The 18,368-nt window shown below is 40.8% G+C and overlaps 1 pseudogene; it reads right to left on the bottom strand.

Moving 5' to 3' along the window:
* Positions 1–6,546: 6,546 nt before the first annotated feature.
* On the bottom strand, positions 6,547–7,677 carry LOC107986378 (60S acidic ribosomal protein P1-like; annotated as a pseudogene).

The following is an 18,368-nucleotide window of genomic DNA, read 5'->3' as shown; positions in this document are numbered from 1 at the left end:
TATTTTCAATTTTTATACATTTTTAAATTTTTGTATTTTAGTAGAGACAGGGTTCCACCATGTTGCCCAGGCTGGTCTCGGACTGCTGGACTTAGGCAATCAACTTGCCTTGGCCTCCCAAAGTGCTGGTATTACAAGCATAAGCCACCATGCTCGGTCCCTTTAATTCTTTTCTTTCCCTTCATTTGTTCACATGTCACCTGTAATCATTCTTGTAGGCAAGCTGCCCCAGGCAAAGCAAGACAGGGCAGGACAGGTAGGGCAGTCGTACCAGTCCCACCTACTTACTATCACCTCAGCAATTCAAACAGTTGGATAAAATACCATGTCTCTCCTCAGAGTAAAATTACTTTGGAACTGTGAAAACAAGGAGTATTCTTATTTTAGATATTGAAAAATCATAGAACTTAAGAATGTGGCAAGTAATTGGAAAATCTCTCATTTTAAAGATGAAGAGGACAAGAGCTGGAAAATGTAAGGTTGAAAAGGGCAGGCTCAAAGCCATGTTTCCTGCTTTAGAGATTATATGTGCAGTTTATCACACATAATTTTTAGGGAAATAATTACCCAGATCAACTACATTTATTTCAGAAAATATTTAAGCATCTACTTTGGGCAAGGCATTGTGCTAGATGCTGAAGACAATAGAAACATGAGCAAGAATAGTACCTGTCCCCAAGGAGCTTCCAATGTAGGGATGAGAGAGAAATAACACCAATATGTGGAATAACTATAATGTAAGCAAGAGTAGTATATGTGCCATAAGAGGTATAAGGTGGTGAGAAAGGTGACATGACATCCAGTCAAAGATATCAAGAAAGGATTCATGGGCAGGGTATCATTTGCAGTGGGTTTTGAAGGATGGGTGAGACTTTGGTGGGTAGAGATGGGGTGGCAAGGCATTCTAGACAGAAGAGCAAAAGTCAAGTCAGAAATGTGGGAATATATAGATTGAAGTTGAGGAAGAGCAAATAATTTGGTTTGGTAAGAAAATTCTGCAAGAATAGGCCAGGATACTATGGACAAAGGACTTTGGATGGCTGTAGCTTTGGTATTTAATTCCCTAAGAAATGAGGAATGCCTGGTTTGTGCCACTAGCAGAGAAGATGTGGGACTTTAACTGGCTTGCTGTTCTCCAGTTCAGAATGGTGAGAAGGTAGAGCCACCCTATACCCACAATGTAGAGGGAGCACATAAGCTAGATTGGAGGAAGGCATGTCACTTGAATGAGGTGGGAACACACTGGGAAATCCAAAGCGGTCTATGAGAATGTGAGGCTGAAGCAGTACAACATAAGCATAGCCAAAAGAATGGTTAAATGTGAGCCAAGAGGTATGAGACATGCATAGGGGTTAGGCCATAACTGCAGAACTTTGTTCTTAAAAGAACAAAGAAGGCCAGGAAATGTCCTGAGCAGTGAGTTATGGAGCAAGAGGAAGGTGAGCTAGGAACTTCAGGAAACTCTACAAACAGGAGGCCCATTAGTCTGGAATACTCTCTTATCCTGATCATCAAGATGCTACATATGGAAATTAACCTAGTGTGGTAAGTATAAAGTTCCAAAGTGAGTGTCAGGATGAGATGCAGATTTTCTTTCTTTTTTTTTTAAGAGGCAAATAAAAGTAATCTTTAAATCATTTGAAAAACATGGTGTTTATTTGTCCAATACAGCTTCAAACTTAAATGCTATGGTTATAATTTCCAAACTTCTGCAAAATTAACATTTATATATACATATGGGTTTTGTGTATAGAACCATATTTTGCAATCAACAAGTTTTAGAGAACAATATATCTGGTTACAGTCCCACATATCTGTAGTAAAGACAAAGCCACATAATATTCATGATGTTAAATCTGGCTCTAAATAACCTAAGGTACAAAATTTTGACCAAATATCAAAATTATAATAATCTGATCTTAAAAATTCAACCCATATGAAACTACTTTTTAGAGAGTAAATGTGCTGTTCAGTAATTCTTTCAATAACCCTTTCTTTTTATGAGTATCTGCAAACTGATCCTTTTCTTTAATCTTCGTGACTCACCAATATTTCAAAGTGACCTCTTTGCTTCCGTGTTACCATGTCAGTACCCAGGGATTGCTGAGGCAGCATAAATTTGACTTCATAAAAAGAGTAGATGCTTTAACAGTGACAGTTTTTAAATCTGTAAACTCAATAATCACATTAGTGATTCAGCAACTATAAAAACATTGAGATTGTGGCACTGAAAGCCAGAATCTCTTTGTGCTTTTAAAATTAAGCTGCTTTTGCATCTTTTTGGTATTTTATCAGCCATCTGTATTTCCCTTATAATAATAAAAGAATATATTTAAAATAAATTTTAAGGTTAAATGTCCTGGGGGGCTTATCAATACTTTTTTTTTAAAACACAGTATAAATCAATTATCTTTTTTCCTTCAGTATTTGGAAGAGCAAAAGTTATTTCTGGTCCCTCCTTAGATCAATCCACACCACTTTTCATGACATATAACACTGAAATTTACAGACATCCCTGAAATGTTTTTAAGTAAACGAGTGAATCACAGTGGAGTCTCCATCAGTTAAACAGTGTAGATCCATTTTTTTAAAAAAACTGAATTTTAAAAGAAAATCTTCAAGCTAAAAACAAAAACAAAACCCTCCTAAGAACTAAAAGCCGAGTGTGTGTTGTCAATGATTCGGTACTTTTATCCCCTGACTGATTTAGACTCTTCCTCCTCATGTTGTAAGACATGTTTGCTGAAATCTTCTCGCCAAGCTTTTGGGATGCCTGGGTGAAGAGGCTATGCTACTGTAGCATCTAACGGAATAGTGACACCATTTCTTCCCTAATAGACTTCATATCCAAAGATGAGCAATGAGTCTCACTCCCCTGCATTTACCAGCATCTTATCAGGAGATAATACTTGCTGTGCAAATTGATAAGAGTTGATCCTCCCACCCCACCCCCACCCCACCCCACCCCACCCCCTACTGTCAATATGAGGTTATCATCAGTTTGTCATTATATGCACTGGCCTTTCACTCTTTCAATCAGAAAAGCTGTGGCTTACTTTAAAAAGGTCGGGGAGGGACAGGGAGAAATGAAAAACCAAGAGTCTAAAGGCATAAGATCGCATAGCTGCTCTAGTTGGAGTTTGTAAACAGAGAGTAGGTTGAATTCAGGTAATCCCAATCTATGAGAGTAAAAAGGCATTCGCAGCAGGCTTTTATCCAGCCAGCTTCTTTGAGACCCTTCATGGGTTTTGAGGTCTACAAAGTATGCACTGAAATACCCATACTTCAAAAAGCAATAAGGCAAATAGTATAATCATTATTCCAAACGTTACAGTGGTAGTGTAGGCATACATAGTATAATTTAGTTACAATGTGTGGTACTGTTTCTATTATATAACCATATTAACTGTTTATTTCCTACATAATTATAAATTCAGCTGGGTTTCAGTTGAACAAAAAACATCCTTGTATCACCATTGATAGTTGGCAATAGCTCTTTGATAGCAGTTTTTATTCTGCTGTAGAAATTATCCTTGAACTGAAAAAAGTTCACAATCCAATGTCCAGTCATTAAACACTATCATATTTGTGAAGAGCTTCTTCCAACTTCTGGGTCACTTTTTGGAAAAATATTATTTGTTGTAAGAAATGCTGGAGATGCAAATTTTCAAAGGAAATGCTCAAGCATTGGTTTGGATTCACAATTCTAAAAACACTCAACTCATAATAAGGGTGTGATGGTCAGTTTTATGGGTCGACTTGGCTAGGCTACTCTACAATTCCCAGTTATTCAATCAAACACTAATCTAGGTGTTGCTGAGAAGGAATTTGGTAGACATAAAGTTCATAGCAGTTGCCATTAGGGACATTATCTAGATAATCTGGATGGGCTGGATTCAACCAGTTGAAAAGATTTGAAAAGCAAAGCTGAGACTTCCCTGAAGAAAAAGCAATTCCACATGTGGAGTGCAGCTGCAGCTGTTGCCTGAAGCTCCAGCCTGCTGTTCCTGATGGCTTGCTTTCAGGATCTGCCTAGCCAGTCCCCACAACTGTGTAAGTCAATTACTTGCAGTAAATCTTTGACTATATATCTCCTGTTGGTTCGGTTTCTCTGGTTGAACCCTGAGTGAGTTGAAAGAGGAGTGCTCAAGAGACAAGTTAGGTGAGGAAGTTTTCTTTGGAGAGAGGTATGCTTTGATTTCCTTCCCTCAAATGGAATGGGGCTTCCATGGGACTCCTAAGAATGTGACATGTGCTCTATGAAGTTGGGGGCAGCATGGACTGATAACAGTTTCTCAGGATAAGAGCAGGTGGGCTACCTCCTTTAGCAGACGAGCCACCTAAAACCAGGACAGAGACTTCCAAGTAAAAATATGAATTGAATATACATTGACATTTACTCCCTTGTGAAAACTGACTGAAATGATAGTACATGGACTTTGTAAAAAATCATAAGAATAGGAAGCCTAAGAGAGGAAACAACAGGAGCAAGATTTTCTTGGGAAGGAAATAAAAGAGTGATTGAAAAATCTAGCAGAACCTATCAGTATCGTCTGAGTACATAAGCAGCTATTGGAAAAGAAAAAAAATCTCAATATTCCTTATGGGAACAACAGAAAATACAAAAATTCAACTCCAGATTCCCGGAAGAGGCCTTTGGGTAAGCACGGACATTCACTACTTCAGTGCTGGATTACTCTGAATTTTCAAAAGTGGATATTAGTGTCAGAAGATACAATTAACTTAATACCACCATAAAATAAAGCCAAATCAATATCTAGGGGTATTGGTTATGGGTTTGTGTCATCTCAGCTTCAAATTCACTCTGTTAATTTCCCTGTACTGTGAAAACAATTCTGGGATCTTCAAAGGATTTTCCTTTGCCAGCTGGCACAATGTTAAGCTTTGTCAGTGGAGGGGTTCTAGAAAGACATTGCAAGAGGGAAAAAGGGGTTTTGCTTTCTGATTCCCTGTGCTTCTCTCAGCAGGCTCCTGCAAGAGTTTAGTGTGTGGGGTGTGGGACGAGGCAGTAGCCCCCAGAGGCCAGCAGCACTCCCCTTCTCAACACCAGCCCCCGGTCTTGAGCAGCTTTGTAGCCCAACGCCTCTGGTGAGCCCCAACAATTTTCCCCAGCACCCTGGAGGATAAATTTCCACAAATTCCAGAGGACATGCCACCATAGTGACTTCTGTGCCTTTCCGTGAGCCACAGCCAAGTTCTCTCCAACAAAGTCTGGCTCTCAGCCCAGTGTGGGGGCTTTTCCTTGGATGCTCCATCTCACCTAAGAGACCTGGGGATAGTGGCTGCTCTTTATATCTGCTATTCCTGTATTCTTTAGAATTCTCTCTTGACTACTCAATGTAGGTACACCAATCTCATCATTTAGTGCCTAATTCTTTATATTAAACATTTCCTGTTTAAATTACTATGTGTTTCCTCTTTCCTGATTGGATTCAGACGGAGAGAAGAAGAAAAAAGTAGCAAACTTGATACACATTAAATTTTTAGAATTTTACTTTATTTTTTGTTTTGTTTTGTTTTGTTTTTGAGATGGAGTCTCCCCCTGTCACCTAGGCTGGAGTGCAATGGCGCAATCTTAGCTCACTGCAAACTCCACCTCCTGGGTTCAAGTGATTCTCCTGCCTCAGCCTCCCGAGTAGCTGGGACTACAGGTGCATGCCACCATGGCTGGCTAATTTTTGTATTTTTAGTAGAGACAAGGTTTCACCGTGTTGGCCAGGCTGCTGTTAAACTCCTGGCCTCAAGCGATCCACCCGCCCTGGGCCTCCCAAAGTGCTGGGATTACACGGTAAGCCACCACGCCCAGCCTAGAATTTTACTTTGAAAGTACAAATGGAATAATTTGTATAAATCTGTTTGAGTCTGCCAGTGCTACATTTAAAAACTGTCCTCTTCTCCTGTCAAGTTCTTAAACGATTGCTGAGTAAGACTAAAGTATTGCCTATATTCCTGCTAAGAGTCAAGGTAAAGGACATGATCTAGGTGTGTACAGTATAGTGAGCTTCCTAATGCTGAACCTCTGAACTGCAGACTCACCCTCTCAGGCACAGGCAAGGGTGCACCAGGACAAGCTCAGAAGGGCAGGGCTGGTACTCCAAGCTTACTACATGGTAAGGTCAACACAGCTCATGCAGTCTGGTGGTGGCTCCCAAGATGGAAGGGAATGGGCTGGGGCCACAGCTTCCTGGTTTCTTCTTCCAACCCTTAAATTAGGTAAATCAGTCTTTCCTCTAGGAGAAGGAGAGAGTAAGTGGGTATGGAGATGCCAGGAGTATTTTACAGTGATGCTCTCTATGTGCCACTCCCTTCAACAAGGTCCATGCCATTTTCATATTACTTTTCTGGATTTCACAAGGATGTATAAAAAAAGACATAGGCATAGTTGGATTATAACACGTATCAGTTAAAATCCCGTGTTCATAGTCTCCTAGTGCCTATATGGGTCACGAAATAACATTACAGGTTGTGTTTTTTTTTTTTTTAAGAGTTTGGTTTTTTATTGAACATGTTACAAAAGAGATTTTGTCAAAAAAGACCAAAGCCCATGCATCATCAGACTCCTCGGATTCTTCTTTCTTTGATTCCACTTCCCTCTCTTCAGCTTGGGCTGCAGTGGTGGAGGGAGCAGGACCTCCCACTGGTGCAGCACCAGGTGCTGGAGCAGGTCCACTGGCCTCTCCAGCGCATATGAGGCTCCTGATGTTGACATTGTCCAGGGCCTCTGCAAACAAGCCAGGCCAGAAAGGTTCAACATTTCCACCAGCTACTTTAATGGTGGCATTTATCTTATCTTCCATGATAAGATAAGACCCTCAACATGCAGAATGGGGCCTGAGTAGATGCAGGTGAGCTCAGAGACAGAGTCCATGGTGCAGGTGAGTACGGGGCTGATGCTGCTGGGAGTGGTGCTCATTGTCAGATCAAGTGACGGCCTCACTCCAAGTCAGCTTTAGCTTCCTCGGAAGAACTCAGCACCTTGGCAGCAGATGACAAAAGGATTTTTGTTCATTCATTTGTATGGTTTTTTTTAACATAAATTAGGTACGGAAATTTCAAAAGGTGCAACCATAGACATAGTTAGACATAGTTAGACAGCCATTGTATCAGACACCAATTCCGACTGGTTTAAGCAGAAAAAGGATTTATTAAAATGATACTGGGCATCTCAGAATTTCTAAGAAGGCTGAACAACCAGGTCTAGAAAATGGGCAGAAAGGAAGGGTTGCTAGTCATTCAGCACAGCAGCCATAATCATGCCAGTCAGGAAAGACCTATTCCCTCTGCAGGATGCTGGTGCTGTGGCTTGTACCACTGGTCCTGAATACTCTCTTGCCCTTTGCCCCTAGATAACAGACAGGGCAGCTATGGCAGCCATTGTCAGAAAGAACTGTCCACTTGGCTTGCTTCTTTCCAACACTAGCTTCAGATTCAAAGTCCCACTTAGATGCATCTGACTGGCTGAACCCAGGTCATGTGCTTTCTTTCCAACTGTTAGGTGATCTGGGAAAGTGATTATCTGTTGCTCCCATCTTCTTATTGTGGAAGGAAGACAGCAAGAAATGTTCATAGGGAATTCTCTAAATATAGAAAAGAGATCCACATACTAAGAAGTCAAGAGAAAAAAGGGCAAATATGCACTACAACTATTTGTTGCTTTAGTGCAAGTAGCCACATGTTTGCACGGATTAAAACAGGTCATGCCGGCCCGGTGCGGTGGCTCAGCCTGTAATCCCAGCACTTTGGGAGGCCAAGGGGGGCAGATCACTTGAGATCAGGAGTTTGAGACCAGCCTGGCCAACATGGGGAAACCCCATCTCTACTAAAAATACAAAAATTAGCCAGGTGTGATGGCGGGCACCTGTAATACCAGCTACTTGAGAGAATCTCTTGAACCCGAGAGGCAGAGGTTGCCGTGAGCTGAGATCGTGCTACTGCACTCCAGTCTGACTGACAAAGTGAGACTCCATCTGAAAAAAACAAACAAAACAGGTCATGCCTAAACCCACGATTTTGTATCCTGTAGCACCTTCATATTCAGCAGAGAGATGAAACACAAAGTTCTACTTTTAAAGAATTAAAGTCCACAAAACAAAAAGGTTAATACAACAATAAATGTTTTTCTTCATTTAAACTAGAAGAACCAAGAAAGAAATATCTAAATCAAGAAATATTAAAGTTTTCATATTTACTATATCATACATTTTACCTTTTATTATTTTTTATTATACTTTAAGTTTTAGGGTACATGTGCACAACATGCAGGTTTGTTACATATATATACATGTGCCATGTTGGTGTGATGCATCCATTAACTGGTCATTTAACATTAGGTATACCTCCTAATGCTATCCCTCCCCCCTCCCCTGACCCCACAACAGGCCCCGGTGTGTGATGTTCCTCTTCTTGTGTCCATGTGTTCTCATTGTTCAATTCCCACCTATGAGTGAGAATATGCGGTGTTTGGTTTTTTGTCCTTGCGATAGTTTGCTGAGAATGATGGTTTCCAGCTTCATCCATGTCCCTACAAAGGACATGAACTCATCATGTTTTATGGCTGCATAGTATTCCATGGTGTATATGTGCCACATGTTCTTAATCCAGTCTATCATTGTTGGACATTTGGGTTGGTTCCAAGTCTTTGCTACTGTGAATAGTGCAGCAATAAACATACGTGTGTATGTGTCTTTATAGCAGCATGATTTATAGTCCTTTGGGTATATAACCAGTAATGGGATGGCTGGGTCAAATAGTATTTCTAGTTCTAGATCCCTGAGGAATCGCCACACTGACTTCCACAATGGTTGAACTAGTTTACAGTCCCACCAACAGTGCAAAAGTGTTCCTATTTCTCCACATCCTCTCCAGCACCTGTTGTTTCCTGACTTTTTAATGATTGCCATTCTAACTGGTGTGAGATGGTATCTCATTGTGGTTTTGATTTGCGTTTCTCTGATGACCAGTGATGATGAGCATTTTTTCTTGTGTCTGTTGGCTGCATAAATGTCTTCTTTTGAGAAGTGTCTGTTCATATCCTTCGCCCACTTTTTGATGGGATTGTTTGTTTTTTTCTTATAAATTTGTTGGAGTTCATTGTAGATTATGGATATTAACCCTTTGTCAGATGAGTACATTGCAAAAATTTTCTCCCATTCTGTAGGTTGTCTGTTCACTCTGATGGTAGTTTCTTTTGCTGTGCAGAAGCTCTTTAGCTTTTTTTTTTTTTATATACTTTAAGTTTTAGGGTACATGTGCACAATGTGCAGGTTAGTTACATAAGTATACCTGTGCCATGAGATCCCTGAGGAATCACTACACTGACTTCCACAATGGCTGAACTAATTTACAGTCTCACCAACAGTGTAAAAGTGTTCCTATTTCTCCACATCCTCTCCAGCACCTGTTGTTTCCTGACTTTTTAATGATCGCCATTCTAACTGGTGTGAGATGGTATCTCATTGTGGTTTTGATTTGCATTTCTCTGATGGCCAGTGATTATGAGCATTTTTTCCTGTGTCTTTTGGCTACATAAATGTCTTCTTTTGAGAAGTGTTTGTTCATATGCTTTGCCCAATTTTGATGGGGTTGTTTGTTTTTTCCTTGTAAATTTGTTGGAGTTCATTGTAGATTCTGGATATTAGCCCTTTGTCAGATGAGTAGATTGCAAAAATTTTCTCCCATTCTGTAGGTTGTCTGTTCACTCTGATGGTAGTTTCTTTTGCTCTGCAGAAGCTCTTTAGTTTAATTAGATCCCATTTGTCAGTTTTGGCTTTTGTTGCCATTGCTTTTGGTGTTTTAGACATGAAGTCCTTGCCCATGCCTATGGCTGAATGGTATTGCCTAGGTTTTCTTCTAGGCTTTTTATGGTTTTAGGTCTAACATTTATATCTTTAATCCATATTGAATTAATTTTTGTATAAGGTGTAAGGAAGGGATCCAGTTTCAGCTTTCTACTTATGGCTAGCCAGTTTTCCCAGCACCATTTATTAAATAGGGAATTCTTTCCCCATTTCTTATTTTTGTCAGGTTTGTCAAAGATCAGATGGTTGTAGATGTGTGGTATTATTTCTGAGGACTCTGTTCTGTTCCATTGGTCTATATCTCTGTTTTGGTACCAGTACCATGCTGTTTTGGTTACTGTAGCCTTGTAGTATAGTTTGAAGTCAGGTAGCATGATGCCACCAGCTTTGTTCTGTTTTGCTTAGGATTGTCTTGGCAACGTGGTCTCCTTTTTGGTTCCATATGAAGTTTAAAGTAGATTTTTCCAATTCTGTGAAGAAAGTCATTGGTAGCTTCATGGGGATGGCACTGAAGCTATAAATTACCTTGGGCAGTATGGCCATTTTCATGATATTGATTCATCCTATCCATGAGCATGGAATGTTCTTCCATTTGTTTGTATCCTCTTTTATTTCATTGAGCAGTGGTTTGTAGTTCTCTTTGAAGAGGTCCTTCACATCCCTTGTAAGTTGGATTCCTAGGTATTTTGTTCTCTTTGAAGCAATTGTGAATGGGAGTTCACTCATGATTTGGCTCTCTATTTGTCTGTTATTGGTGTATAGGAATGCCTGTGATTTTTGCACATTGATTTTGTATCCTGAGACTTTGCTGAAGTTGCTTATCAGCTTAAGGAGATTTGGGGCTGAGACAATGGGGTTTTCTAAATATACAATCATGTCGTCTGCAGACAGGGACAATTTGACTTCCTCTTTTCCTAATTGAATACTCTTTATTTCTTTCTCCTGCCTAATTGCCCTGGCCAGAACTTCCAACACTATGATGAATAGGAGGGTGAGAGAGGGCATCCCTGTCTTATGCCAGTTTTCAAAGGGAATGCTTCTAGTTTCAGAAGGAATGGTATCAGCTCCTCTTTGTACCTCTGGTAGAATTCGACTGTGAATCTGTCTGGTCTTGGACTTTTTTTGGTTGGTAAGCTATTAATTATTGCCTCAATTTCAGAGCCTGTTTTTGGTCTATTCAGAGATTCAACTTTTACCTGGTTTAGTCTTGGGAGGGTGTATGTGTCCAGGAATTTATCCATTTCTTCCAGATTTTCTACTTTATTTGCATAGAGGTGTTTATAGTATTCTCTGATGGTAGTTTGTATTTCTGTGGGATCGGTGGTGATATCCCCTTTATCATTTTTTATTGCATCTATTTGATTCTTCTCTCTCTTCTTATTAGTCTTGCTAGCGGTTTTTCAATTTTGTTGATCTTTTCAAAAAACCAGCTCCTGGATTCATTGATTTTTTGAAGGGTTTTTTGTGTCTCTATTTCCTTCAGTTCTGCTCTGATCGTAGTTATTTCTTGCCTTCTGCTAGATTTTGAATGTATTTGCTCTTGCTTCTCTAGTTCTTTTAATTGTGATGTTAGGGTGTCAATTTTAGATCTTTTCTGCTTTCTCTTGTGGGCATTTAGTGCTATAAATTTCCCTCTACACACTGCTGTACATGTGTCCCAGATATTCTGGTATGTTGTGTCTATGGTCTCATTGGTTTCAAAGAACATCTTTATTTCTGCCTTCATTTCGTTATGTACCCAGTAGTCATTCAGGAGCAGGTTGTTCAGTTTCCATGTAGTTGAGAGGTTTTGAGTGAGTTTCTTAATCCTGAGTTCTAGTTTGATTGCACTGTTGTCTGAGAGACAGTTTGTTATAATTTCTGTTCTTTTACATTTTCTAGGGAGTGTTTTACTTCCAACTATGTGGTCAATTTTGGAATAGGTGTGGTGTGGTGCTGAAAAGAATGTATATTCTGTTGATTTGGGGTGGAGAGTTCTGTAGATGTCTATTAGGTCTGCTTGGTGCAGAGCTGAGTTCAATTCCTGGATATCCTTGTTAACTTTCTGTCTCATTGATCTGTCTAATATTGACAGTGGGGTGTTAAAGTCTCCCGTTATTATTGTGTGGGAGTCTAAGTCTCTTTGTAGGTCTCTAAGGACTTGCTTTATGAATCTGGGTGCTCCTGTATTGGGTGCATATATATTTAGGATAGTTAGCTCTTCTTGTTGCATTGATCCCTTTACCATTATGTAATGGCCTTCTTTGTCTCTTTTGATCTTTGTTGTTTTAAAGTCTGTTTTATCAGAGACTAGGATTGCAACAACTGCCTTTTTTTGTTTTCCATTTGCTTGGTAGATCTTCCTCCATCCCTTTATTTTGAGCCTATGTGTGTCTCTGCATATGAGATGGGTTTCCTGAATACAGCACACTGATGGGTCTTGACTCTTTATCCAATTTGCCAGTCTGAGTCTTTTAATTGGAACAGTTAGCCCATTTACATTTAAGGTTAATATTGTTATGTGTGAATTTGATCCTGTCATTATGATGTTAGCTGGTTATTTTGCTCGTTAGTTGATGCAGTTTCTTTCTAGCCTCGATGGTCTTTACAATTTGGCATGTTTTTGCAGTGGCTGGTACCATTTGTTCCTTTCCATGTTTAGTACTTCCTTCAGGAGCTCTTTTAGGGCAGGCCTGGTGGTGACAAAATCTCTCAGCATTTGCTTGTCTGTAAAGGATTTTATTTCTCCTTCACTTATGAAGCTTAGTTTGGCTGGATATGAAATTCTGCATTGAAAATTCTTTTCTTTTCTTTAGGAATGTTGAATATTGGCCCCCACTCTCTTCTGGCTTGTGGAGTTTCTGCTGAGACATCTGCTTTTAGTCTGATGGGCTTCCCTTTGTGGGTAACCCGACCTTTCTCTCTGGCTGCCTTTAACATTTTTTCTTTCATTTCAACTTTGGTGAATCTGACAATTATGTGTCTTGGAGTTGCTCTTCTCAAGGAGTATCTTTGTGGTGTTCTCCGTATTTCCTGAATTTCAACGTTGGCCTGCCTTGCTAGATTGGGGAAGTTCTCCTGGATAATATCCTGCAGAGTGTTTTCAAACTTGGTTCCATTCTCCCCATCACTTTCAGGTACACCAATCAGACGTAGATTTGGTCTTTTCACATAGTCCCATATTTCTTGGAGGCTTTGTTCATTTCTTTTTATTCTTTTTTCTCTAAACTTCTCTTCTCACTTCATTTCATTCATTTCATCTTCCATCACTGATACCCTTCCTTCCAGTTGATCGGATCTGCTACTGAGGCTTATGCATTCGTCACATAGTTCTTGTGCTGTGGTTTTCAGCTCTGTTAGGTCCTTTACGGATTTCTCTGCATTGGTTATTCTAGTTAGCCATTCATCTAATCTTTTTTCAAGGTTTTTAACTTCTTTGCCATGGGTTCGAACTTCCTCCTTTAGCTCGGAGTAGTTTGATCGTCTGAAGCCTTCTTCTCTCAACTCGTCAAAGTCATTCTCCATCCAGCTCTGTTCCATTGCTGGTGAGGAGCTGCGTTCCTTTGGAGGAGAGGCACTCTGATTTTTAGATTTGTCAGTTTTTCTGCTCTGTTTTCTCCCCATTTTCGTGGTTTTGTCTACCTTTGGTCTTTGATGATGGTGACGTACAGATGGGGTTTTGGTGTGGATGTCCTTTCTGTTTGTTAGTTTTTCTTCTAACAGTCAGGACCCTTAGCTGCAGGTCTGTTGGAGTTTGCCAGAGGTCCACTCCAGACCCTGTTTGCCTGGGTATCAGCAGCGGAGGCTGCAGAACAGCGGGTATTGGTGAACAGCAAATGTTGCTGCCTGATTGTTCCTCTGTAAGTTTTGTCTCAGAGGAGTAACCGGCCATGTGAAGTGTCAGGCTGCCCCTACTAGGGGGTGCCTCCCAGTTAGGCTACTTGGGGGTCAGGGACCCACTTGAGGAGGCAGTCTGTCCATTCTCAGATCTCAAGCTGCGTGCTGGGAGAACCACTACTCTCTTCAAAGCTGTCGGACAGAGACATTTAAGTCTGCAGAGGTTTCTGCTGCCTTTTGTTTAGCTATGCCCTGCCCCCAGAGGTGGAGTCTACAGAGGCAGGCAGGCCTCCTTGAGCTGCAGTGTGCTCCACCCAGTTTGAGCTTCCTGGTTGCTTTGTTTACCTACTCAACCTTCGGCAATGGCGGGCTCCCCCCCGCCAGCCTCACTGCTGCCTTGCAGTCTGATCTCAGACTGCTGTGCTAGCAATGAGCGAGTCTCCGGGGGCATAGGCCCCTCTGAGCCAGGCACAGGATATAATCTCCTGGTGTGCCATTTGCTAAGGCCATCAGAAAAGCACAGTATTAGGGTGGGAGTGACCCAATTTACCAGGTGTCATCCATCACCCCTTTCCTTGGCTAGAAAAAGGAATTCCCTGACCCCTTGCACTTCCCGGGTGCGGCAGTGCCTCGCCCTGCTTTGGCTCAGGCTCAGTGCACTGCACCCACTATCCTGTACCCACTGTCCAATAATCCCCAGTGAGATGCAACCAGTACCTCAGTTGGAAATGCAGAAATCATTCGTCTTCTGCGTCGCTGACACTGGGAGCTGTAGACTGGAGCTGTTCCTATTCGGCCATCTTGGCTCCACCCCTCAACAAATGATTCATTTTACCTTTTAAAACTAGAAGTATTCAATATGTGGGTGCGGGGATTTAGAATCCTTTTCTCAGCTCAGAAACTGTGGCTCAAGCCAATATTCAAAATGGCAACCAAACTTTCCATTTCCTACCCCCCACTTTTTCTTTAGTATTCAGCTTTGGTAACAATGTTGATAGTTCTTGGCATGTTGCCCCTTAGTTATTATTTATCTTAATATTTGCTACAATTTGTGACTCATTTTGAAAGCGAGGTTAGGTTAGAATATAAAAAAAATTAATATTATAAAAAGACTTTTGCATAGTAGCATTTAGTTTGCTAGGCTAGAAGCCACCAGAGTTAGAACTCCTGCACTTTTTTCCACATACAGGAACACATTATTAATCTTAGAACATAACTGCATGTGTCAAGAATATCTTTAAAAAGTGCTTTTTTTTTTTGAGACAGAGTTTCGCTCTTGTTACCCAGGCTGGAATGCAATGGCACACTCTCAGCTCACTGCAACCTCCGCCTCCTGGGTTCAAGCAATTCTCATGCCTCAGCCTCCCAAGTAGCTGGGATTACAGGCGCCTGCCACCACACTTGGCTAATTTTTGTATTTTTTTAGTAGAGACGGAGTTTCACCATGTTGGCCGGATGGTCTCGAACTCCTGACCTCAGATGATCTGCCGCCTTGACCTCCCAAAATGCTGAGATTACAGGTGTGAGCCACCATGCCTGGCCCTAAAAAGTGCTTTTTAAAACCTGCTTGTAAATCGACATTCTACATTCTTGATTACATATTTTATTTGTCTATACTTTTCCAGGAAATCATATTTGATTTCTGATCCAATCATAATAAGCATCATAAGCTTGGTTGATATGAGTTTGTTTCTGAGCCCACAAAGCCAAGCACTAAATCATTGAGCATATTCACTTCCTCAAGGAAATGAGTTCTGTCCTCTGAGGCCTCTCAGGTGAAGCTACCCATCTTTCCTTTCTAATCTCTGGACATAATTGTGTTTTTTATGGTACATAGAATAGTGGAAAGAGCATGAATTTTGGCACAGACCTGGGTTTAAAACCCAGCTTTGCCATTTACTGTGGGCAAATTACTTAAGCTCTTTGAGGCTTGGTTCTTCAACTGTAAATTGGGAATGATATCTACTTGGAGGATGGTGGGTAGGATAATATTCCTAAGACACCTAGAAAATAGTAGGTGCTCAATAAAATGGTAGCTATTATTCAAATATTTACAAGTTAGCAGGTAACTAAGAAACTTAGGATCCTAGTGAGGGAAGAACACTCCATTGAACTCATTCCTTTACTTCCCAATGGTACAGAAAAAAACATTGCAACCTACTCTAGGACAAGGGAGATTGCACTGTTACAACAGCTTCAACTTTATTACTCTTTTTTTTTTTCCCAAGAAATGGGGTCTCACATGCCAGGCTGGCCTCAAACTCCTGGCCTCCAGTGAAAATGATCCTCCCACCTCAGCCTCCCAAACTGCTGGGATTACAAGCATGAGCCATTGTGCCTGGCCACTTTATTATTCTTGAATAAAGTTTCAGTTCCCACTTTGTGCAGTTTATGGATCCCCTTCTCTAAAATGACTTCCCGTCCCTGTCCTCTTCTTCCTGTCCCTTGGTCCACAACCCAGATAACTCCTGTTAGTCATTCAAAATTCAGCTCAGACACATGGATCTTTATTTCCTGTTCTTCAAATAGGCCAAGCCTGTTCCTGTCTCAGGGACTTTACCCATGCTGTTCCCTTCTCTTGCATCATTCTGCCCACAGAGCTTCATAGACTGGCTGCTTCTCATCCTTCAAGTCTCAGCTTAAGTGTCACTATTTCAGAGAGATCTTTCCTAACCACCTCATGCACATATTTACCCCACAGTCATCTGCTATCTCATTAGTTGCATTATTTTATTCATAGGATCATCACTACCTGAAGAGCTCATTTATTATTTTTCTTACATAATGTTCTGCCTTCCACCACTAAGCTACACTGGATCAGAAATTGTATCTTTCTTTTTCACCACATATAATCTCTGAACCTAGAACAGTGCCTGGTACACTGTAGTGTTCAATAAAGATTTATGAATCTGCTCAGGGAAGCTTTTCTTTACCCCTAGGCTGAATTAGATACATCTTTGAATTCCATTATCCTTTGGGCATGTTTCTTTGTATAGCACCTGAACTATATTGTAATTGCTAATTGTGCTATTTTAAAAATACTTTTTATGCATCCTTCCATGGTAGTAAAGCTTTTAGGGGTGAAATGGGAAAGAAGAAGGAAAAGAGGTAAAACCCAAGAAGATAGCAGGTTGGAAACAATACTGGGTTGTCAGTAAGAATGCTAAATCAATGGAGTTTTCAATCCATTTCTCATTAAAAACTTTCCAGGGACCTGGAGAGAGGAGAATATCTTCTTGGGAACTACAAGCCTGTCTTGGAGCATAGCAGTGGAGTAGAACTAGTGTCCTTGTGCAGTCAGGAATCCACAGGGCCCTGAGCCTCCCTCAGCCCCTGAGTGGCATGGAAGGACTACGTAAGCTCTTCATGTCAGACAGAGGAAAGGAGACAGATGAAATTCTGGTTGGCAGGATTTAGGAATTTTGCTGCAAAGGGGGCTCAGTAAGCCAGTAGCTGAGGGCTGTTATAGGGCAGATGAGGGCATCAAATGAAAGCTCTGGTGAGCCTTAGGATTGTGCAGCACAGAGAAAGCCAAAACAGGGGCCTGGTCCACAGAGGGCCAGTACAAAAACCCACATGTAGGGCCGAGCCCCCTCTTCTGATATAACATCAACCCAGTAAGTTCCATAAAACCCAGATGTCAGCAGGGCATGGTGGCTGGCTCCTGTAATCCCAGCACTTTGGGAGGCTGAAGCAGGTGGATCACAAAGTCAGGAGTTCGAGACCAGCCTGACCAACATGGAGAAACCCCATCTCTACTAAAAATTAGCTGGGCATGGTGGCGTGCGCCTGTAATCCCAGCTACTCAGGAGGCTGAGGCAGGGGAATTGCCTGAACCCAGGAGGTGGAGGTTGCAGTGTGCCAAGATCATGTCACTGCACTCCAGCCTGAGCGACAGAGCAAGGCTCCATCTCAAAAAAAAAAAAAAAAAAAAAAAAAACCCAGATGTCATCCTGCCACATAGAAGGCTGGAGGAGAAACAGCCCTGACAGGGAGTTAAATTTTGAATTGACTGAATATTTAGGCAAAATAAGGCTGTCTAAACCAGAAAGATGGAAATACCTTTAATTAGCAAATTTGAGGATCTTCCCACACCACCCCCTTCTTCCCATTATTTAGTGAGATAGAGGCTGTGAAGTGTAGACTCCTTACAAAAAAATAAAGATTGGTGCCTTTTTACTTTTTGCTTTTGAGTTGTAGTATGAAACCCAGCCCCTTGCTGTTATTTTTTTCCTCTCCTTCCCTCTCTTCCACTCTTTAGACTATGCACTCTTTGAGGACAGTCTATATCTTCCAATTATGCAATCCTATTTTCTAGCACAGAAAGGAGCCATAAATGTGAGCTACATGTATAATTTCACATTTTCTAATAGCCACATTTAAAACCTCTTAAGAAACAGATAAATTTAATTTTAACAAAATATTTAACCCAGTATAGCTAAAATATTATCATTATAATGTAATCAATATAAAAATTATTAATGACATAATTTTTTTTATCAAGTCTTTAAAATCTGGTGTATATTTTACATTGACAACACATCTCACTTTGGGCTAGCCACCTTTCCAGTGCTCAATAGCTACGTGTAGCTAGTTCTTAACCTTATTGGACAGCAGAGGTCACACACAAGCACCTCCATAGAGGTATAGCATCTATAACGCTTAACCAATAATATATTTGGCATTAAATTTAGAAACAATACATAAAAAATATCTTTTAACATGTCTTAAAAT

This window comes from Homo sapiens, chromosome 5, assembly GCF_000001405.40.
Source record: "Homo sapiens chromosome 5, GRCh38.p14 Primary Assembly".
Classification (NCBI taxonomy): Eukaryota; Metazoa; Chordata; class Mammalia; order Primates; family Hominidae; genus Homo; species Homo sapiens.
This window is presented reverse-complemented; position numbering and strand designations above follow the sequence as displayed.